The sequence below is a fragment of the Homo sapiens genome, chromosome X (assembly GCF_000001405.40).
Source record: "Homo sapiens chromosome X, GRCh38.p14 Primary Assembly".
Taxonomy (NCBI): domain Eukaryota; kingdom Metazoa; phylum Chordata; class Mammalia; order Primates; family Hominidae; genus Homo; species Homo sapiens.
The window spans coordinates 120,502,776-120,522,397 of NC_000023.11; the positions used below are offsets into that span (position 1 = coordinate 120,502,776).

Below are 19,622 nucleotides of genomic sequence, written 5' to 3' on the forward strand. Positions count from 1 at the left end.
GGTTGCAGTGAGCCGTGATAGTGCCACTGCACTCTAGCCTTGGTGACAGAGTGAGACTCTGCTTCCAAAACAAACAAACAAAAAGAAGGTGGACTGTAACAGGTTAAAGATGTATTACTATAAAACCTAAAGCAACCACTAAAATAACAAAACAGAGAGTTATATTTAATAAGCCAACAAAGGCAATAAAATAGAATCATTAAAATGCTCAATTCATACTAATTTATTACTTTTTCCTTTTTTTCTTTTTCCTTTTTATGTGGAGGTTTTCTGGAAAACCAGAAAACCTGCTAGACAAATTCTAAAAGGGCTGTAACACTGACTTTCCTTTTTTGAATCATGCTTTTGCCCTAAATCCCATAGATTTTCTCCTATATTTTTTCTAAAAGTGTTATAGTTTTACATTTTATATCTAAGTCTGTGGCCCACTTTGAGTTTTTTTTAATACGGTGTGAGATTTAGATTGAAGTTCATTTTCTTTTGCTTACAGTTGTCCAGTTGTGCCAACACCATTTGTTAAAAAGGCTATTGTTCCTCCATTGATTTGCTGTTGTATCTTTGTCAAAAATCAGTTGGAATAGCAAACTATATGTTACATGTACTCTGCCATAATAAAAAAAGAAGAAAAAAAACCAGATGCGTTCTTTCTTCTGTTGCATTGATCTGTATGTCTATATTTCCACCAATATCACACGGTCTTTATTACTGTAACTACATATTAGGGCTTAATATCAAATACAGTAATTCCTCCCACTTTATTCTTCTTTTTCAAGAATAAGCTTGTTTATTTCTACAAAAAGCCTAGCTGGGATTTTGATAGGAATTGCATTACATCTATAGATCAGTTTGGGAAGAATTGCTATCTTTACTATGTTGTGTATTCTAATCCATAAATATGCTATGGCACTCCATTTATTTCAGTCTTCTTTGATCTCTTTCATTAGTATTTTGTAATTTTCACCATACAGATCCTGTATGTGTTTTGTTAAGTTTATATCTAAGTATGTACTGTTCTTTGGAACAATTATAAATGGTATAGTGTTTTTCATTTTGGTTTCCACATGCTCTCTGTTAATATATAGAAATACATTTGGCTTTTGCACGTTAATCTTGAATCCTGCAAACTTTCAAGCTCACCTATTAGTTGTAGAGGATTTTTGTTGTTTATTTGCTTGGTAGATTCATTAGGCTTTTCTATATAGAAAAGCATGCCATCTTCAGGTAAGGACAGATTTATTCTTCCTTTCTAATCGGTGTTCTTTTTATTTCTTTTTCTTGTCTTATTGTGTTGTGTTTCCAGTACTATGTTGAATGAGTGATGAGAGTGAACATCCATGCCTGGTTTCTAAACAGGTGGAAGCCAGTTACTCTTTCACCATTAACTGTGATGTTAGTTGTAGGGTTTTTGTAGATGCCTTTTATCAAGTTAAGGTAGTTCCCCTATCATGCTAACTTGCTGAAAGGTTTTTTTTTTTTTAAATATAAATGGGTGTTGGATTTTGTCAAATGTTTTCTCTGTGTCAATGAATATGATAATATGATTTTCTTTCTTGAGCCTATCGATATGGTGAATTACATTGGTTTTTGAGTATTGAACCACGCTTGACTACAGGCATACATTGTTTTACTGTGCTTTGCAGATATTATGTTTTTTACAAATTGAAGATTTGTAGCAACCCTGCATTAAGCAAGTCTATCAGTACCATTTTTCCAACAGCATGTGCTCACTTTGTGTCTCTGTGATAGCATGTTTTAACAATAAAATATTTTTAAAGTATGTACATTGTTTTATAGACATAATGCTATTGCACACTTAATAGACTACAGTATGGTATCAACATAAGCATTTTATATGCACTCTTTCTCCTTTTTTTGTGAAGGTTTTCCAGAAAACCTGCTAGACAAATTCTAAAAGCTGTAACACTGACTTTTTCTTTTTGTGACTCACTTTATTGCAATATTTGCTTTATTGTGATGGTCTGGAACTGAACCTGCGTCATTTCCCAGGTATGCCTGTACTGTGATGGCTAATTTTATGTCTCAACTTGACTGGCCATGGGTGCTTAGATTAAACATTATTTCTGGGTCTGTGAGGATGTTTCCAGGTGAGGTTATCATTTGAATCAGTGAACTCAATAAGTAGATTGCCTGCCCTGATGTGGGTGAGCATGATCCAATTCACTGAGGGCCTGAATAGAACAAGAGGTGGAAAAAGAAGAAAACTGCCCTTTTTGCTTCCTGTTTGCTTGCCTGAATTGAGACATCTCATCTCATCTTCTCCAGCCCTTTGGCTGGGATTTATACCACTGGCTTCCTGGTTCTCAAACTTTCAAGCTCAGACTAAATTATACTAACAGTTTTCCTGGGTTTCCAGCTTACAGATGACAGATCATGGGACTTCTCAGCCTCCATAATTCCATGAGCCTATTCCTCAATTCCTTGTGTGTGTCTCTCTCTCTCTTTTTCATCTCCTACTGGTTCTGTTTCTCTAGAGAACCCTGACAAGTACAAACACCTGGAATAAATCCTACTTGATCATGGTGTATAGTCGTTTATATAAAATATTATATTTTATTTGCTAATATTTTGTGGAGTAGTTTTTGTGCCTATGTTCACAAAAGATACTGGTCTGTGGCTCCTTCCTCCCTCCCTTCCTCCCTCCCTTCCTTCCTTTCTTCTTTCCTTCCTTCCTTCCTCCCTCCCTTCCTTCCTTCCTTTCCTTCCTTCCTTTCCTTCCCTCCCTCCTTCCTCCCTTCCTTCCTCCCTCCCCCTTCCCTTCTCCTCCCTCCTTCCCTTTCCCTCCCTCCCTCCCTCTCTTCCTTCCTTCCTTCCGATACTGTCTTAGAATTTTGTATCAGGTTAATAATCGCCTTATAAAATGAGTTGGGAAGTGTTTCCTTCTCATTTTCTGGAAGAGATTGTGTAAAATCTTTTTCAAATGTTTGGTAGAATTCTCAGTAAAACCACATGGGCCTGGAGATTTATTTTTTTGAGAGCTTTATAGTTATAAACCCAATTTATTTAATGGTTATAGGACTATTCCGATTATATTGGTTCAGTTTTGATCATTTGTGATTTTTGTGGTTTGTGGCCTATAGTTTGTAGAATTGGTTCTTCTATGTTGTTGAATTTATGAGCATAAAGTTGTTTACAGCATTCCTTTTATTCTTTTTTTTAAATGTTTGTGGGTACAAAGTAGGTGTGTATATTTATGGGTACATGAGATGTTTTGATACAGGCACGCAATGTGAAATAAGCACACCACGGAGAACGAGGTATCCATCCCCTCAAGCATGTATCCACTGAGTTAATAAACAATCCAATTACACTGAGTTATTTTAAAATGTACAATTATTAGTGACTATAGTCATCCTATTGTGCTATCAAATAGTAGGTTTTATTCATTTTATTTTTGGAGCCATTAACCATTCCCACCTCCCCACCAGGCCCCCGCTATGCTTCCCAGCCTCTGGTAATCATCCTTCTACTCTTTATGTCCATTAGTTCAATTGTTTTGATTTTTAGACCCCACAAATAACTGAGAACATGTGATGTTAGTTTTCCAGGGCCTGGGTTATTTCACTTAACATAATGACCTCCGGTTCCATCCATGTGATTGCAAATGACAGGATCTCACTCTTTTTATGGCTGAATAGTATTCCATTTTGTATCTGTACCACATTTTCTTTATCCAGTCATCTGTTGATGGACACTTAGGTTACTTGCAAATCTTAGCTGTTGTAAACACTGCTGCGAGAAACATAGGAGTGCCGATATCTCTTTAATATACTGATTTCCTTTCTTTGGGGTATATACCCAGCAGCAGAATTGCTGGATCATATGGTAGCTCAATTTTTAGCTATTTGAGAAACCTCCAAACTGTGCTCCATAGTGACTGTACTAATTTACATTCCCACCAACAGTGTACAAGGGTTCCCTTTTGTCCACATCCTTGCCAGCATTTGTTATTGCCTGTCTTTTGGATATAAGCTATTTTAACCGCGGTGAGATGATATTCCATTGTCGTTTTGATTTGCATTTCTCTGATGACCAGTGATGTTGAGCACCTTTTCATATGCCTGTTTGCCATTTATATGTCTTCTGATGAGAAATGTCTATTCAAATCTTTTGCCCATTTTTTTAATAGATTATATTTCTTAGAGTTGTCTGAACTCCTTATATACTTTGGTTATTAATCCCTGGTCACATGGGCAGTTTGCAAATATTTTCTCCCATTCTGTGGGTTGTCTCTTCACTTTGTTGATATTAGGTAAAGCAAATCGTCTCATATGTGTCCTCAAATATTATAAACATTTTTAAATTTTAAAAAAGTAATTTAGTTTTAAATTTTTAAAAAATTAAATAAATGGTATCACAGTGGATGTATTTTCCCGTGCTTTTTTGCACGCCATTGTTTTAGACATTTATCTGTGTTGACACATATAGTACTAATTCATTCAACTGTTATATAACACTGTATTTTATAAATGTAACACAATTCATCCATTCTGTTGAACACTCATAGCTTGTTTCCATTTTTTTAATACTCACTACAGACAATACAGAAATAAACATTCTTGTAGATTTCTTTTCAAACATAGTGTGAGATGTATATCCTAAGATTAGAATTACTCAGTCATAAGATGTCAGCAGCTTTGATCTTACTAAATATTACTATTGCTTTTCAAAGTAGTTGTGCCCATTTATATTCCTACCATAAATGAGACTACATTCCTCATCACGCCATCATTTAATGCTGTAAGGCTTTTCCATTTTTGGTAATCTGATGCATGTGAAGTACAATACCTTACAGTTTTATTCTGCATTCCTCTGACCATAGTGAGATTGATCTTATTAATGTATTGGTCATTCGGGTTTCCTTTTCTGTGAATCCCCTATTCATATTCTTTGCTCGTTTTTGAACTTACCTGTTTTTCTTATTGACTTATGAAACCTACTTATATTTTCTGAATATTAATCCTGTGTTGGTTATATGCACTATGAATGTCTTCTCCCAGACTGTAAGTTGTCTTTCTGATTTGTATGCGGCCTTTTGATTAGTTATATTGGAACTATCTCTCCAATGTTATTTTTGTGCTTTGTATTAACTTTACTTTTTCTAGGCTTCTTTCCTTCTTTCCCTGTTTCACTGATCATGTTTCCCCCTTCTACTGGTTTGGATGTTGGACATTCTAATTCTTTTTGAGTCAGCCTAAAAATATATATTTTAATTTATATACAGTATAATTCATTTTTGTTGTACAGCTCTGAGTTTTGACAAATGCAGAGCTGTGTAAACACTACTACAATTAAGATGCCAAAGAGTTTCATCATGCCTCAAATTCCCTCTTAGTACCCCTTTATATATCCCTCCTCTCACCCCCACCCATGCTAATTACTGATCTGTTTTCCACTGTTAGTTTTGCCTTTTGCATAATGTAATGTAGGAATTATACCTTATGTAGCCTTTTGACTTTGGCTTCTTTCACTTAAAATAATGAACTGCAGATTTATTTGTGTTGTTGAATGTATCAATAGTTCATTCCTGTATATTGCTGAGTAGTAGTATTCCATTACACAGATGTACCATTATTTACCCATTCAGCAGTTGAAGGACATTTGGGTTGTTTCAGGTTTTTGGCAATTATAAATAAAACTACCATAAACATTTACATACAGTCTTTTGTGTGAGAATTAGTTTTCATTCCTCTTGGAAAATACCTAGGGGTGACATTTCTCGGTACCCTTAAATTTTAATATGCATACAGTCCAAAGTTAGTATATACTTTATTCCCCTTTTGAATAAAACAAAGATCTTAATACATTTTAACTCCAAACTTTTACCTTCCATCTTCCATGTTAGCTTGTCTAGTATTTTAGTGCTACTCTTATTGTAATCTTCCCCAACAAAATCAGTAATTTTTATTTTTAGTCAATACTTATTTAGGTATATGAATATATTTCATCAATTACTTTGGTCATCATTGCTTCTTGCATCCCACTCCTTTCTTCTAAAAAGCACATTTTAGGCCAGGCGCAGTGGCTCATGCCTGTAATCCCAGCAGTCTGGGAGGCTGAGGTGGGCAGACCACTTGAAGTCTGGAGTTCGAGACCAGCCTGGCCAACATGGTGAAACCCCATCTCTACTAAAAATGCAAAAATTAGCCAGGTGTGGTGGCAGGCCCCTGTAATCCCAGCTACTCGGGAGGCTGAGGCAGGGGAATCGATTGAACCCAGGAGGTGGAGGTTGCAGTGAGCCGAGATGGTGCCACTGCACTCCAGCCTGGGTGACAGAGCGAGACTCTGTCTCAAAAAAATAAAATAAAATAAAAAGTACATTTTAATGACGTGCTTTAGAACAATAAATTAGAAATTAAATTAGCAGAATGTTCTAGTGTATACTAGAGCCTGATATGCCCAAAATACTCATTCCTAGATGACAGAATCTAGTGATCTGTTTTAGGTAGGAATTATATATACTGGTTTGAAATAATCTTTTCTTGTTCCTTTTAATTGCAAAGGAAGTGACTCTCCATTTATTAGTTCCTACACGAGAGTAGGGTGAAAAGGCTAATAGAGGCCTCATGCATTCAAAGAGGCTTGAGGTTTTCATACTACTCTTATCTTTGGTTAAAACATTTGACCTGTTTATATCTAATTTCCTCTTAAACAATCACATGCAAAACCATATTAAGGGCCGGGCGCGGTGGCTCACGCCTGTAATCCCAGCACTTTGGGAGGCCGAGGCGGGTGGATCACGAGGTCAGGAGATCGAGACCATCCCGGCTAAAACGGTGAAACCCCGTCTCTACTAAAAATACAAAAAATTAGCCGGGCGTAGTGGCGGGCGCCTGTAGTCCCAGCTACTTGGGAGGCTGAGGCAGGAGAATGGCGTGAACCCGGGAGGCAGAGCTTGCAGTGAGCCGAGATCGCGCCACTGCACTCCAGCCTGGGCGACAGAGCGAGACTCCGTCTCAAAAAAAAAAAAAAAAAAAAAACCATATTAAGTAGGATACTTGAAATTCCTGAACATTATATAAATTATGTTAAAAATTTAATATGTTTGAAAGATAAAGAGGAAAATGCTTATACAGTTATCTTTCTGCCTCATAATCCTTAACTCAAAGAGGAATTAGAAATAAACCTTTGAAAGATGCTAATTCCATAGTCTGAATTGCTGCTTGTGTTTTAGGACAGAAGTCTAATTCATTATGTAGGCCTGATTCTAAGAAAATTTGTCTTTGCTTCTCACTTGTGTTATCTTTTAAAAATCCAGCAAATTCCATACTGCCCTTTTAGGTATAATGTTAACCATTACAAATAATTTTTTTTTTAATAAGAAGTCTCACACTGTCACCCAAGCTGGAATGCAGTGGCATGATCTCAGCTTACTGCAACCTCCGCCTCCCGGATTCAAGCGATTCTCCTGCCTCAGTCTCCCGAGTAGCTGGGACTATAGGCACACGCCACCATGCCTAGCTAATTTTTGTATTTTTAGTAGAGACGGGGTTTCACTATGTTGGCAAGGCTGGTCTTGAACTCCTGACCTGGTGATCCGCCCACCTCGGCCTCCTAAACTGCTGGGATTACAGGCGTGAGCCACCGCGCCCGGCCTGAAGAATCTTATGACCACTTTTTAAAATGCTTTCACAAGATATTCACACACCAATGATTTAAACAAATCAACAAAGGAAAAATTTCTTTGTACTTAATAAAAAATTCTATCTGCCAAATGTTTAAAAAAATAACTTCTGACACATAGGCTGGGCGCGGTGGCTCACGCCTATAATCCCATCACTTTTGGAGGCCGAGGCGGGCAGATCACTTGAGGTCAGTAGTTCGAGACCAGCCTGGTCAACATGGTGAAACCGTCTCTACCAAAAATACAAAAATTAGCCAGGCGTGGTGGCGCATGCCTGTAATCCCAGCTACTCGGGTGACTGAGACAGGAGAATAGCTTGAATCCAGGAGATGGAGGTTGCAGTGAGGCAAGATCACGCCACTTCACTCCAGCCTGGGTGACAGAGTGAAACTCTGTCTCAAACAAAAACAAACCAACGAAACAAACTTCTGACATATAGTTAATGAAAAGAAAATGCGTTTATGCACAGAAGGGATTTTTAAATTAACACAAAACAATTGAATATCTAAAAGCAACTCGTGCCAATATTTATATTGCTTTCAACTTAAGAATGTCTCATTGGCTATTTCAGACTAAGAAATCTGAGAAAGATTTCATCTCTAAATAGGCACACAATATATAAAGATGTACTTTGGGACAATAACTACATAAAGGAGGAGAGGTAGAGCTGTATAGAAGCAGTTTTTATATATACTATTGAAGCTAAATTAGTATTAATTCATACTAGTTAGTTGTAAACTTAAGATGCCCATCATAATCCCCAGGGTAACCACTAAGAAAAAAACCCTAAAAGATATATATATGAAAATAAGCCAGGCGAGGTGGCGTGCACCTATACTCCCAGCTACTCAGGAGGCTGAGGAGGGAGGATCACTTGAACCCAGGAGCTCTAGTCTAGCCTGGGTAACACAGTGATACTTTGCTTCTATTTAAAAAAAAGATATGCATAAAAGGAAATGAGAAGAGAATCAAAACGGTATACTACAAAAAAAAATCAATCAAATACAACAGAAGGGGAGATTTACTCATCCTTCCCTGGTTGGATGTATACATGAGGCATATAATAGTCCCCCCTTATAAGCAGTTTTGTTTTCCCTGGGTACAGTTACCTGTGGTCAACATGGTCCAAGAATATTACATGGAAAATTCCAGAAATAAACAATTCCTAACTTTCAAATTGCATGCCATTCTGAATAGCATGATGGAATCTCATGCCGTCCTGCTCCATCCCACCCAAGATGCAAATCATTCCTTTGCCCAGCACATCCATACTGTATATACCACCCATTAGTCACTTAGTAGCCATCTTGGTTATCAGATCAACTGTTGCAGTACTGCAGTGCTTCTGTTCAAGTAATCTTTGTTTTAATTAACAATGGCCCCAAAGCACAAGAGTAGTAATGCTAGCAAATTGTTACAATTGTCCTATTTTATTGTTGTTAATCTCCTACTGTGTCTAATTTATAAATGAAGTATAGGTATGTATAGGAAAAAATGTATATATAGGGTCTGGTACTATCCGTGATTTCAGGCATCTACCAGGGGTCTTGGAACATACTCTCCTCAGATAAGGGGGGACTGCTGTACAAGCTATTAAACTGTTTTTCTCTTGTGAATCTATCTTTTGTTACAGGAGTCCATCACAATTAACAACTATGAAGGGTAGAGAGAAAATTATCTTTCCTCCCCTAGAGTTTCTGGTGATGAGGATAGGATCTCTGGGGTACCCTGCTCACTCTGGAACCTGCCAATGAGATCCCGGGGAAACTGACAGAAGCTGGCTAAGGGTAAGAATTCTTACCAAAGTCAACTCTCCTGGATCTGTCTGTAGCACCTAGTAGAGAAGAGGAAGGCAAACACTTTTCTTTGCTCCTTACTTTCTAACTTTGATTAGCAGGAGGAAAACATCTGTACCAATTGATTTTTTTGGATTATGACTCTGGCTTGATCCTTTCCCTCTCAGAGACAGCTTTTGCTTTCCTGTTGGTCTCGTGTCCTGAAAGCTTAGCTTGGCTTTCTACCTGTCCGGGCACACAGGTTATCAAGCCTGTATTTGCAGGCAGCCAACTGAAAGGTTGGCAGCCCCCAATAATATGGCCGGACAGAAATGGGGGTTGCACCCTACTTGTATCTAGGGTCCTACCAACTGTTGCCAGCTCTCAGAGGATTCTCTGTCTTTTGGCTATCTCTGGGAGTGGTTCTGGATCTTGGCAGTTGGGGGGAGGGCTGTATCTTTGCACCCTCTATGAAGACACCCCTTATACCCACAGTTAAGCCATTAAGGGCTTATTGGTTTTGGTCAAGTCACTCGATAAATATAACTCTGAAAATATCCCCAGTGGGGTGACATGAATTGCATGCCAGGTTCTGGACAGAAATATAGTTAAAAATTAATCAGGCTGCCCTTTGGCCCACTTTCCTTTTGCTGAAAGTCATGTAGTACTAGATACTGACTATTTGCATTCCCATTGTTCCTATAGATAGGATCTCTGACATTGGAATTATAAGGCTTTCGTTTAAAGACTGCTTAAGATATTCTCAGGATCCTGAATTCTAGTGGAAAGGCTGAAGCCAACCAGTTTCAAGACCCTCAGAGAGGAACCAAATCAGCACAAGAATATACTTGTTTCTTTTTTTAAGATAGAGTCTTGCTCCTCAGCCAGGCTGGAGTGAAGTGGCACAATCATAGCTCACTAAAGCCTCAAACTCCTGGGCTTAAGTAATCCTCCAGCCTCAGCCTCCTTAGTAGCTGGGGCTACAGGTAGATACCACTACACCCAGCTAATTTTAAAAAATTTTTTGTAGAGATGGGGTCTCCCTATGTTAGCCAGGCTGGTCTTGAACTACTTCCCTCAAGCAATCCTCCTGCCTTGGGCTCCCAAAGTGTTGGGATTATAGGCATCAACCTGGCCAAGAATACAGTTTCTTCATCTCCAAGTCCTATGACTTCATCCTGCACTCTTCAACCAATCAACAATCTCCACACTTTGGCCCACTCCAAAACCCTTTAAAACCCTAACCTCAAATTCCTTGGGGAGATAGATTTGAGGTTTCCTCCCATCTCTTTAATTATCCTACCATTAAACTTCTTTCTCGGCCGGGCGCAGTGGCTCATGCTTGTAATCCCAGCACTTTGGGAGGCTGAGGCAGGTAGATCACTGTAGGTCAGGAGTTTGAGACCAGCCTGGCCAACATGGTGATACCCCGTCTCTACTAAAAATAAAAAAATTAGCTGGGCGTGGTGGTAACGCGCCTGTAATCCCAGCTACTCGGGAGGCTGAGGCAGGAGAATTGCTTGAACCTGGGAGGCATGGGCTGCAGTAAGCCGAGATTGTGCCACTGTACTCCAGCCTGGGTGACGGAGCGAGACTCCGTCTCAAAAACAAAAAACAAAAACCTCTTTCTCTGCTGTAACCCAGCATCTCAGCATATTGATTTGCTGTGTACATTGGGCAAGAAACATATTATGATTACACCTTTGGTTTAAAAGAAAAAAAAAGGAGTTCAATTCTGCCAGGAATATTCTCTATTCTTTTTGATCCTGTTCCTTCCATGGAAACCTCAGTCAACTGAAATTCCTTTCTCAAAATCCTGCAAACTATATGCTCTGCCAACTCTGGCCACCTCCTTTTCGTTGACACAATTTTGCTAATAACTTGAAACTTCATTGGCTTCTTCAGAAAACTTAAGATCTCCCCAAACTGGTGCTAAGACCTCTTCCTCCCCGTTGCTTCTGCTCCTCCTTCTGCCACTTTCGATCTTTAATTCAGTTTCTTTGAACCTTGATCTGTTCCCCCTCCAAGCCCCTACCTCCTCCATCCTTCTGTCCACTACTGTGAGACCTTTTACCTTCCCACTCCAGCCCCTTAGTCTCTTGAACTGTAGAACTCTGGCTCTCAAGAGACTTAGGGACATCCAAAAGCAATTACATGAGGCTAAAAAGAAAAGGAAGGCTAGTTAGAAATAGACTGGATATTTCATCCACTCCGATGGGCTTTGGAGATAGACAACCACTAGGTGTCTCCTCAGTCACCTACATTTTAGTCCACAGCCTCATGACTGACCTCTGGAAATAGGCAAATATGCTACAAAACTCCTAGGAGAGAACTTTCATCCTTTCTCTGTGTCTTTGAGATGTAAAATTTCTTCTCTAGGGCCTGAGGGCTATCTCTTTTGAAATGAAAATCTCAAGGAGATGACTCTCACCTGAAGGAAAAAAAAGGAGCTGTTTGGAAATTGGGCAAATGAAGAATCTTGTCTTTTCCACAAATACTTGTAAAAACCTTTAGCCATCTGAGTAGGTAACCTTAACTTACTCTATCTGCTAGAAACACAATTTAGATACAGCTATTCTCTTACAAACGAGTGAGTTTCATATTATTGTACCTGATACATGGCTAAAATTTTTAAATGAAAGCTGTAAAATCTGTTTGTATCTGTATGTTTATGTATGTCTCTGTAGATATGACATTTTTCTATCCCCATGGTATTATGTAGTTTGTAAACAAGGTCTACTTCACTGGCTTTAAGAAAAATAAACCTGGCTGAGTGTGGTGCTTAGGCTTGTAATCTTAGAACTTTGGGAGGCCCAGGCAGGAGGATTGCTTAAGGTCACCCTCAGCAACATAACGAGATCCTCGTCTCTACAAAAGAAAATTTAAAAATTAGCTAGCCATAGTGGCTTGTGCATGTAGTCCTAGCTACTTAGGAGGCTGAGGCAGGAGAATTGCTTGAGCCCAGGAGTTCCAGGCTGCAGTGAGCTATGATCCTGCCATCGCACTCCAGTATAAGTAACAGAGACCACGTGTCCAAAAAAAAAAAAAAAAAAATGCCGAGCATGGTGGCTCACGCCTGTAATCCCAGCAGTTTGAGAGGCCGAGGCAGACAGATCACCTGAGCTCAGGAGTTCAAGACCAGGCTGGGCAACATGGCGAAACCCCATCTCTACAAAAAATACAAATATTAGCCAGGTATGGTGGCATGTGCCTATGATCACAGCTACTCGGGAGGCTGAGGCAGGAGAATTGCTTGAGCCCAGGAGGCGGAGGTTGCAGTGAACCAAGATAGCGCCATTGCACTCCAGCCTGGGCGACAGAGCAAGACTGTCTCAAGAAAAAAAAAAAAGGACAGAAAGAGAAACTTACATAAATTAAGTATTCTCTTAGAAAACAGAAGAACTAACCCAAATGCTTTTCAAGTTCACTTGACTGGTAATCTTTGGTAAATAATACTGTTGGTTTAGTTAAAAAAAAAAAAAAGAAAAGAAAATGCCTTCAGAGTTGTCAGCATCAGCATTAAATATAATGCAGACACACAACTTTTATTCTGAGTTTACTAGTCGAGTAAGCTTATGTTATTTCTACTAGATGTTTATGATTATAAAATTAATTCAACCAAGAATAAATATATAAGTAAAAATGCAGTATTTGTTACTTCATATATATCAAGTACAGCAGTGAACAAAAAACCCATGAATTTAAAAAGAAACACACACAAGAGACGGCAGTAATAAAGGATTAAGGAACAAAAAAAATATGATACATAGAAAACAAATAGCAAAATGACAGAAGTCCTTCCTCATCAGTAATTATTTTAGATGTAAAAAAATTAAACTCTCCAATTTCAAAAGTCAGAGATTGGCAGAATGGATTTAAAACCAAGATCTAACTATAAATTGTCGACAAGAAACTCACTTTAGGTTCTAGACACAAACAAGTTGAAAGAGAAAGGATGGAAAAAGACATTGCAAGCAAACCAAACCAAAAGAGGGCTAGGGTTGCTCCACTAATGTCAGATAAAATAGACTTTTAAGTAAAAAAGTGTATTATTACAAGAGACAACAATAATATATATTGATATAGGGGTAAGGTATTAATAATCATAAACAGACATACCTAACAGTCCCACTATATATGAAGTAAAAACTGGTAGAATTGAAGGCAGAAATAGACAGTTCTACAATAATGGTTGAAGACTTCAATACCCCACTTTCAATAATGGATAATACTAGACAGAAGATCAATAAGGAAATAGAAAAACTGAACAACACTACAAACCTACTTGGCTCGGTAGACATATACAGAACATTCCACACAAAACAGTAGAATACACATTCTTCTCAACTCCACATGAAACATTCTCCAGGATAAATCACGTTAGGCCACACAACTCTCAATAGATTTAACAAGACTGAAATCATATACTATCTTCTCTGGCCACATGGAGTAAAATTAGAAATCACTAATAGACCAGGTATGATGGCTCTCGCCTGTAATCCCAGAAATTCGGAAGACCAAGATGGAAAGATTGCTTCAGGCCAGGAGTTCAAGACTAGCCTGGGCAACATAGGGAGACCCAATCTCTGCAAAAATTTTTAAAAAATTAGCTGGGTGTGGTGGCATGCACCTGTAGTCCCAGCTACTCAGAAAGATCGCTGAAGCCCAGGAGTTTAGGCTGCAGTGAGCTGTGACTGTGCCACTGCACTCCAGCCTGGGCAACAGGGTGATACCGTCTCAAAAAAAAAAAAAAAAAAAAAGAAAAACATAGAATAGACTCAAGTTACTAAAATCAGAAATGAAAGTGGGATATTACTACTGATCTTGCAGAATTAAAAAGGATGATAAAAGATTGCCATGAGGCTGGGCACAATGGCTCACGCCTGTAATACCAGCACTTTGGGAGGCCGAGGTGAGAGGATTGCTTAAGAGTTTGAGACCAGCCTGGGCAATACAACAAGACCCCATCTCTACAAAAAAATTAAAAAAAAAAAACTAGTTAGGTGTGGTAGTGAATGCCTGTGGTCCCAGCTACCTGGGATGCTGAAGTAGGAGAACTGCCTGAACCTGGGAGATCTAGGCTGCAGTCAGCTATCATCGTGCCACTGCACTCCAGCCTGGGTGACAAGAGTGAGACCCTGTCTCAAAAAAAGAAAAGAGGATTGCTATCGACAATTGTATGCCAACAAATTAGATATCTAAGAGAAAATCGAGGCAAGTGGATCACAAGGTCAGGAGATCGAGAACATCTTGGCTAACATGGTAAAACCCCGTCTCTACTAAAAATACAAAAATTAGCTGGGCGTGGTGGTGTGCGCCTATAGTCCCAGCTACTCTGGAGGCTGAGGAAGGAGAATCTCTTAAACCCAGGAGGCAGAGGTTGCAGTGAGCCGAGATCACACCACTGCACTCCAGCCTGGGCGAAAAGAGCGAAACTCCATCTCAAAAAAAAAAAAAAAGACACGAAAAAAACAAACAAACAAAAAAATACAAATTCCTAGAAATATACAAATGACCTAAAACTGATGCAAAAAGAAATAGAAAATCTGAACAGACCTGTAGGATACTAAATAATCGAAAACATCCCCCAAAAGAAAAGCCTGGTACCAGACAGCTTCACTAGTGAATTCTCTTTTTTTTTTCATCATCCTCTGACTTTCACACTGGTGAATTCTGTTAAAGAAGAATGAACACCAATCCTTCTGAAAGTCTTCCAAAAAACAGAAGACCAAATACTTGATAGTTCATTGTATAACACTAGCATTACTCCGATACTAAAGCTGGATAAAGATACTGCAAGAATAGTACAGATCAATATTCCTTATGAATATAGATGCAAAGATCTTCAAAAAATAATAGCAAATCAAATCCAACAACATACCAAAAGGATTAGACAACATGACCAAATGGGATTTATGCCAAGAATGCAAGGGTGATTCTACATATGAAAACAAATCAATGTATTACACCACATGAATAGAATGAAGGAAATAAACCACATGATCATCTCAATTGATGCAGAAAAAGCATCTGACAAAGTTCAACACCCTTTAATGACAAAAACATTCAGAAAGCTAAGAATGAAAGAAAACTTCCGGCCGGGCAGTGGCTCACTCCTGTAGTCCCAGCAATTTGGGAGGCCAAGACGGCAGATCAATTGAGGCCAGGAGTTCGAGACCAGTCTGGGCAACACAGTGAGACCCCTGTCTCTATTAAAAAAATGTTAATTAGCCAGGTGTGGTGGCAGGTGCCTGTAGTCCTAGCTACTTGGGAGGCTGAGGTGGGAGGATTGCTGGAGCCCAGGAGGTAGAGGCTGTAGTGAGCCATGACTGTATCATAGCACTCTAGTCTGGGTGACAGAGCGAGACTCCATCTCTAAAAAACTAAATAAAAGAGAAAGAAAACTTCTTCAATAAGATAAAGGGCATTTATAAAACACCCACAGGTAACATCATACTCAATGGTGAAAGACTGAAAGCTTCCCACCTAAGAACAGAAACAAGTCAAGAATGCTCACTTTAGCTACGTATTTAACATTGTTGAAATCTCCACTCAGAGAAATTAGGCAAGAAATTGAAGGCACCCAAAATGGAAAGGAAGAAGTAAACTGTAGATGGCAAAGATGCTATAAATAGAAACTCCTTAAAAATCCACAAAAATTCATAAGAGCTAGCAAACGAATCCAGCAAAAATGCCAGATACAAGATAAACATGCAAAAATCAGCTGTATACAGTTGTATACACTGGCAATGAATAGCATGAAAAGTAAATTTAGAAAACAATTACATTTATGATAGCACCAAAAAGAACAAAATATTTAGGAACATAATTAGGGAGAGACAAGAAAAGTACACTGACATATATAAAACTTTACTGAAAAAAAAATTTTAAATACCTAAAAACAGAAAGACATCTTTTGTTCATGGATTAGAAGACTTCATATTGTTAAGATGACAATACTCCCCAAAGTGATATATAGATTCAATGCAATCCCTATCAAAATCCCAATGGCCTTTTTTGCAGAAATGAAAAAGCTGATCCTAAAATCCATATGGAATTATATGTAAGGCACCTAAATAGTTAAAACAATCTTGAAAAAGAGGAAAGGTGAAACATTCACATTTTCTGATTTCAAAATTTACCAAAAAGCTATAGTAATCAAAACAGTGTAGCACCAGTGTAAGACGGACATATAAGAAGAATGGAATAGAATTAAGAAATAAACCCCATCTCTGTGGTTTTATCTACCTTTGGTCTTTGATGATGGTGACATACAGATGGGGTTTTGGCATGGACGTCCTTTCTGTTTGTTAGTTTTCCTTCTAACAGTCAGGACCCTAAGCTGCAGGTCTGTTGGAGTTTGCTGGAGGTCCACTCCAGACCCTGTTTGCCTGGGTATCAGCAGCGGAGGCTGCAGAACAGCGAATATTGCTGAACAGCAAATGTTGCTGCCTGATCGTTCCTCTAGAAGCTTCGTCTCAGAGGGGTACCCGGCCATGTGAACATCGATGCAAAAATCCTCAATAAAATACTGGCAAACCGAATCTAGCAGCACATCAAAAAGTTTATCCACCATGATCAAGTGGGCTTCATCCCTGGGATGCAAGGCTGGTTCAACATATGCAAATCAATAAACATAATCCAGCATATAAAGAGAACCAATGACAAAAACCACATGATTATCTCAATAGATGCAGAAAAGACCTTTGACAAAATTCAACAGCCTTTCATGCTAAAAACTCTCAGTAAATTAGGTATTGATGGGACATATCTCAAAATAATAAGAGCTAGTTATGACAAACCCACAGCCAATATCATATTGAATGGGCAAAAACGGGAAGCATTCCCTTTGAAAACTGGCACAAGACAGGGATGCCCTCTCTCACTACTCCTATTCAACACAGTGTTGGAAGTTCTGGCCAGGGCAATCAGGCAGGAGAAAGAAATAAAGGGTATTCAATTAGGAAAAGAGGAAGTCAAATTGTCCCTGTTTGCAGATGACATGATTGTATATATTTAGAAAACCCCATCATCTCAGCCCAACATCTCCTTAAGCTGATAAGCAACTTCAGCAAAGTCTCAGGATACAAAATCAATGTGCAAAAATCACAAGCATTCTTATACACCAAATAACAGACAGAGAGCCAAATCATGAGTGCACTCCCATTCACTATTGCTTCAAAAATAATAAAATACCTAGGAATCCAATTTACAAGGGATGTGAAAGACCTCTTCAAGGAGAACTACAAACCACTGCTCAACGAAATAAAAGAGGACACAAACAAATGGAAGAACATTCCATGCTCATAGATAGGAAGAATCAATATCGTGAAAATGGCCATACTGCCCAAGGTAATTTATAGATTCAATGCCATCCCCATCAAGCTACCAATGACTTTCTTCACAGAATTGGAAAAAAAACTAAAGTTCATATGGAACCAAAAAAGAGCCTGCATTGCCAAGTCAATCCTAAGCCCAAAGAACAAAGCTGGAGGCATCACGCTACCTGACTTCAAACTATGCTACAAGCCTACAGTAACCAAAACAGCATGGTACTGGTACCAAAACAGACATATAGACCAAGGGAACAGAACAGAGCCCTCAGAAATAATACCACACATCTACAATCATCTGATCTTTGACAAACCTGACAAAAAACAAGAAATGGTGAAAGGATTCCCTATTTAATAAATGGTGCTGGGAAAACTGGCTAGCCATATGCAGAAAGCTGAAACTGGATCCCTTCCTTACACCTTATACAAAAATTAATTCAAGATGGATTTAAGACTTAAATGTTAGACCTAAAACCATAAAAACCCTAGAAGAAAACCTAGGCAATACCACTCAGGACATAGGCATGGGCAAGGACTTCATGTCTAAACACCAAAAGCAATGGCAACAAAAGCCAAAATTGACAAATGGGATCTAATTAAACTAAAGGGCTTCTGCACAGCAAAAGAAACTACGATCAGAGTGAATAGGCAACCTACGGAATGGGAGAAAATTTTTGCAAGCTACACATCTGACAAAGGGCTAATATCCAGAATCTACAAAGAACTCAAACAAATTTACAAGAAAAAAACAAACCCCATCAAAAAGTGGGTGAAGGATATGAACAGATACTTCTAAAAAGAAGACATTTATGCAGCCAACAGACACAGGAAAAAATGCTCATCATCACTGGCCATCAGAGAAATGCAAATCAAAACCACAATGAGATACCATCTCACACCAGTTAGAATGGCAATCATTAAAAAGTCAGGAAACAACGGGTGCTGGAGAGGATGTGGAGAAATAGGAACACTTTTACACTGTTGGTGGGACTGTAAACTAGTTCAACCATTGTGGAAGGCAGTGTGGCGATTCCTCAGGGCTCTAGAACTAGAAATACCATTTGACCCAGCCATCCCATTACTGGGTATATACCCAAAGGATTATAAATCATGCTGCTATAAAGACACATGCACACGTATGTTTATTGTGGCACTATTCACAATAGCAAAGACTTGGAACCAATCCAAATGTCTATCAATGATAGCCTGGATTAAGAAAATGTGGCACATATACACCACGGAATACCATGCAGCCATAAAAAAGGATGAGTTCATGTCCTTTGTAGGGACATGGATGAAGCTGGAGACCATCATTCTCAGCAAACTATCGCAAGGACAGAAAACCAAACACCATATGTTCTCACTCATAGGTGCGAACTGAACAACGAGAACACTTGGACACAGGAAGGGGAACACCACACTCTGGGGCCTGTTGTGGGGTGAGGGTAGGGGGTAGGGATAGCATTAGGAGATATGCCTAATGTAAATGACGAGTTAATGGGTGCAGCACACCAACATGGCACATGTATACATATGTAACAAACCTGCACGTTGTGCACATGTACCCTAGAACTTAAAAGTATATATATATATATATATATAAAAAGAAATAAACCCATACAGCTATGGCCAATTGATCTTCAACAAGGGTTGATAAGATTATTCAATGGGAGAAAAAATAGCCTCTGACAAATGGTGCTGCGACAACTAGATAACCACATGCAAAAGAATAAAGTTAAACATTTACTTCATATCATATATAGAAACTAACTCGAGATCAAAGACCTAAACATAAGAAATAAAACTGTAAAACTCTTATAAGAAAACACAGGGGTAAAACCATGAGCATTGATTTGGCAATGGTTTCTTAAA

The 19,622-nt window shown here is 38.7% G+C and overlaps 3 pseudogenes; all 3 read right to left on the bottom strand.

The window, feature by feature from the left end:
* Positions 266-322, bottom strand: RNU7-68P (RNA, U7 small nuclear 68 pseudogene; annotated as a pseudogene).
* On the bottom strand, positions 1,777-2,026 carry RNU7-86P (RNA, U7 small nuclear 86 pseudogene; annotated as a pseudogene).
* On the bottom strand, positions 1,877-1,926 carry LOC124900489 (uncharacterized; annotated as a pseudogene).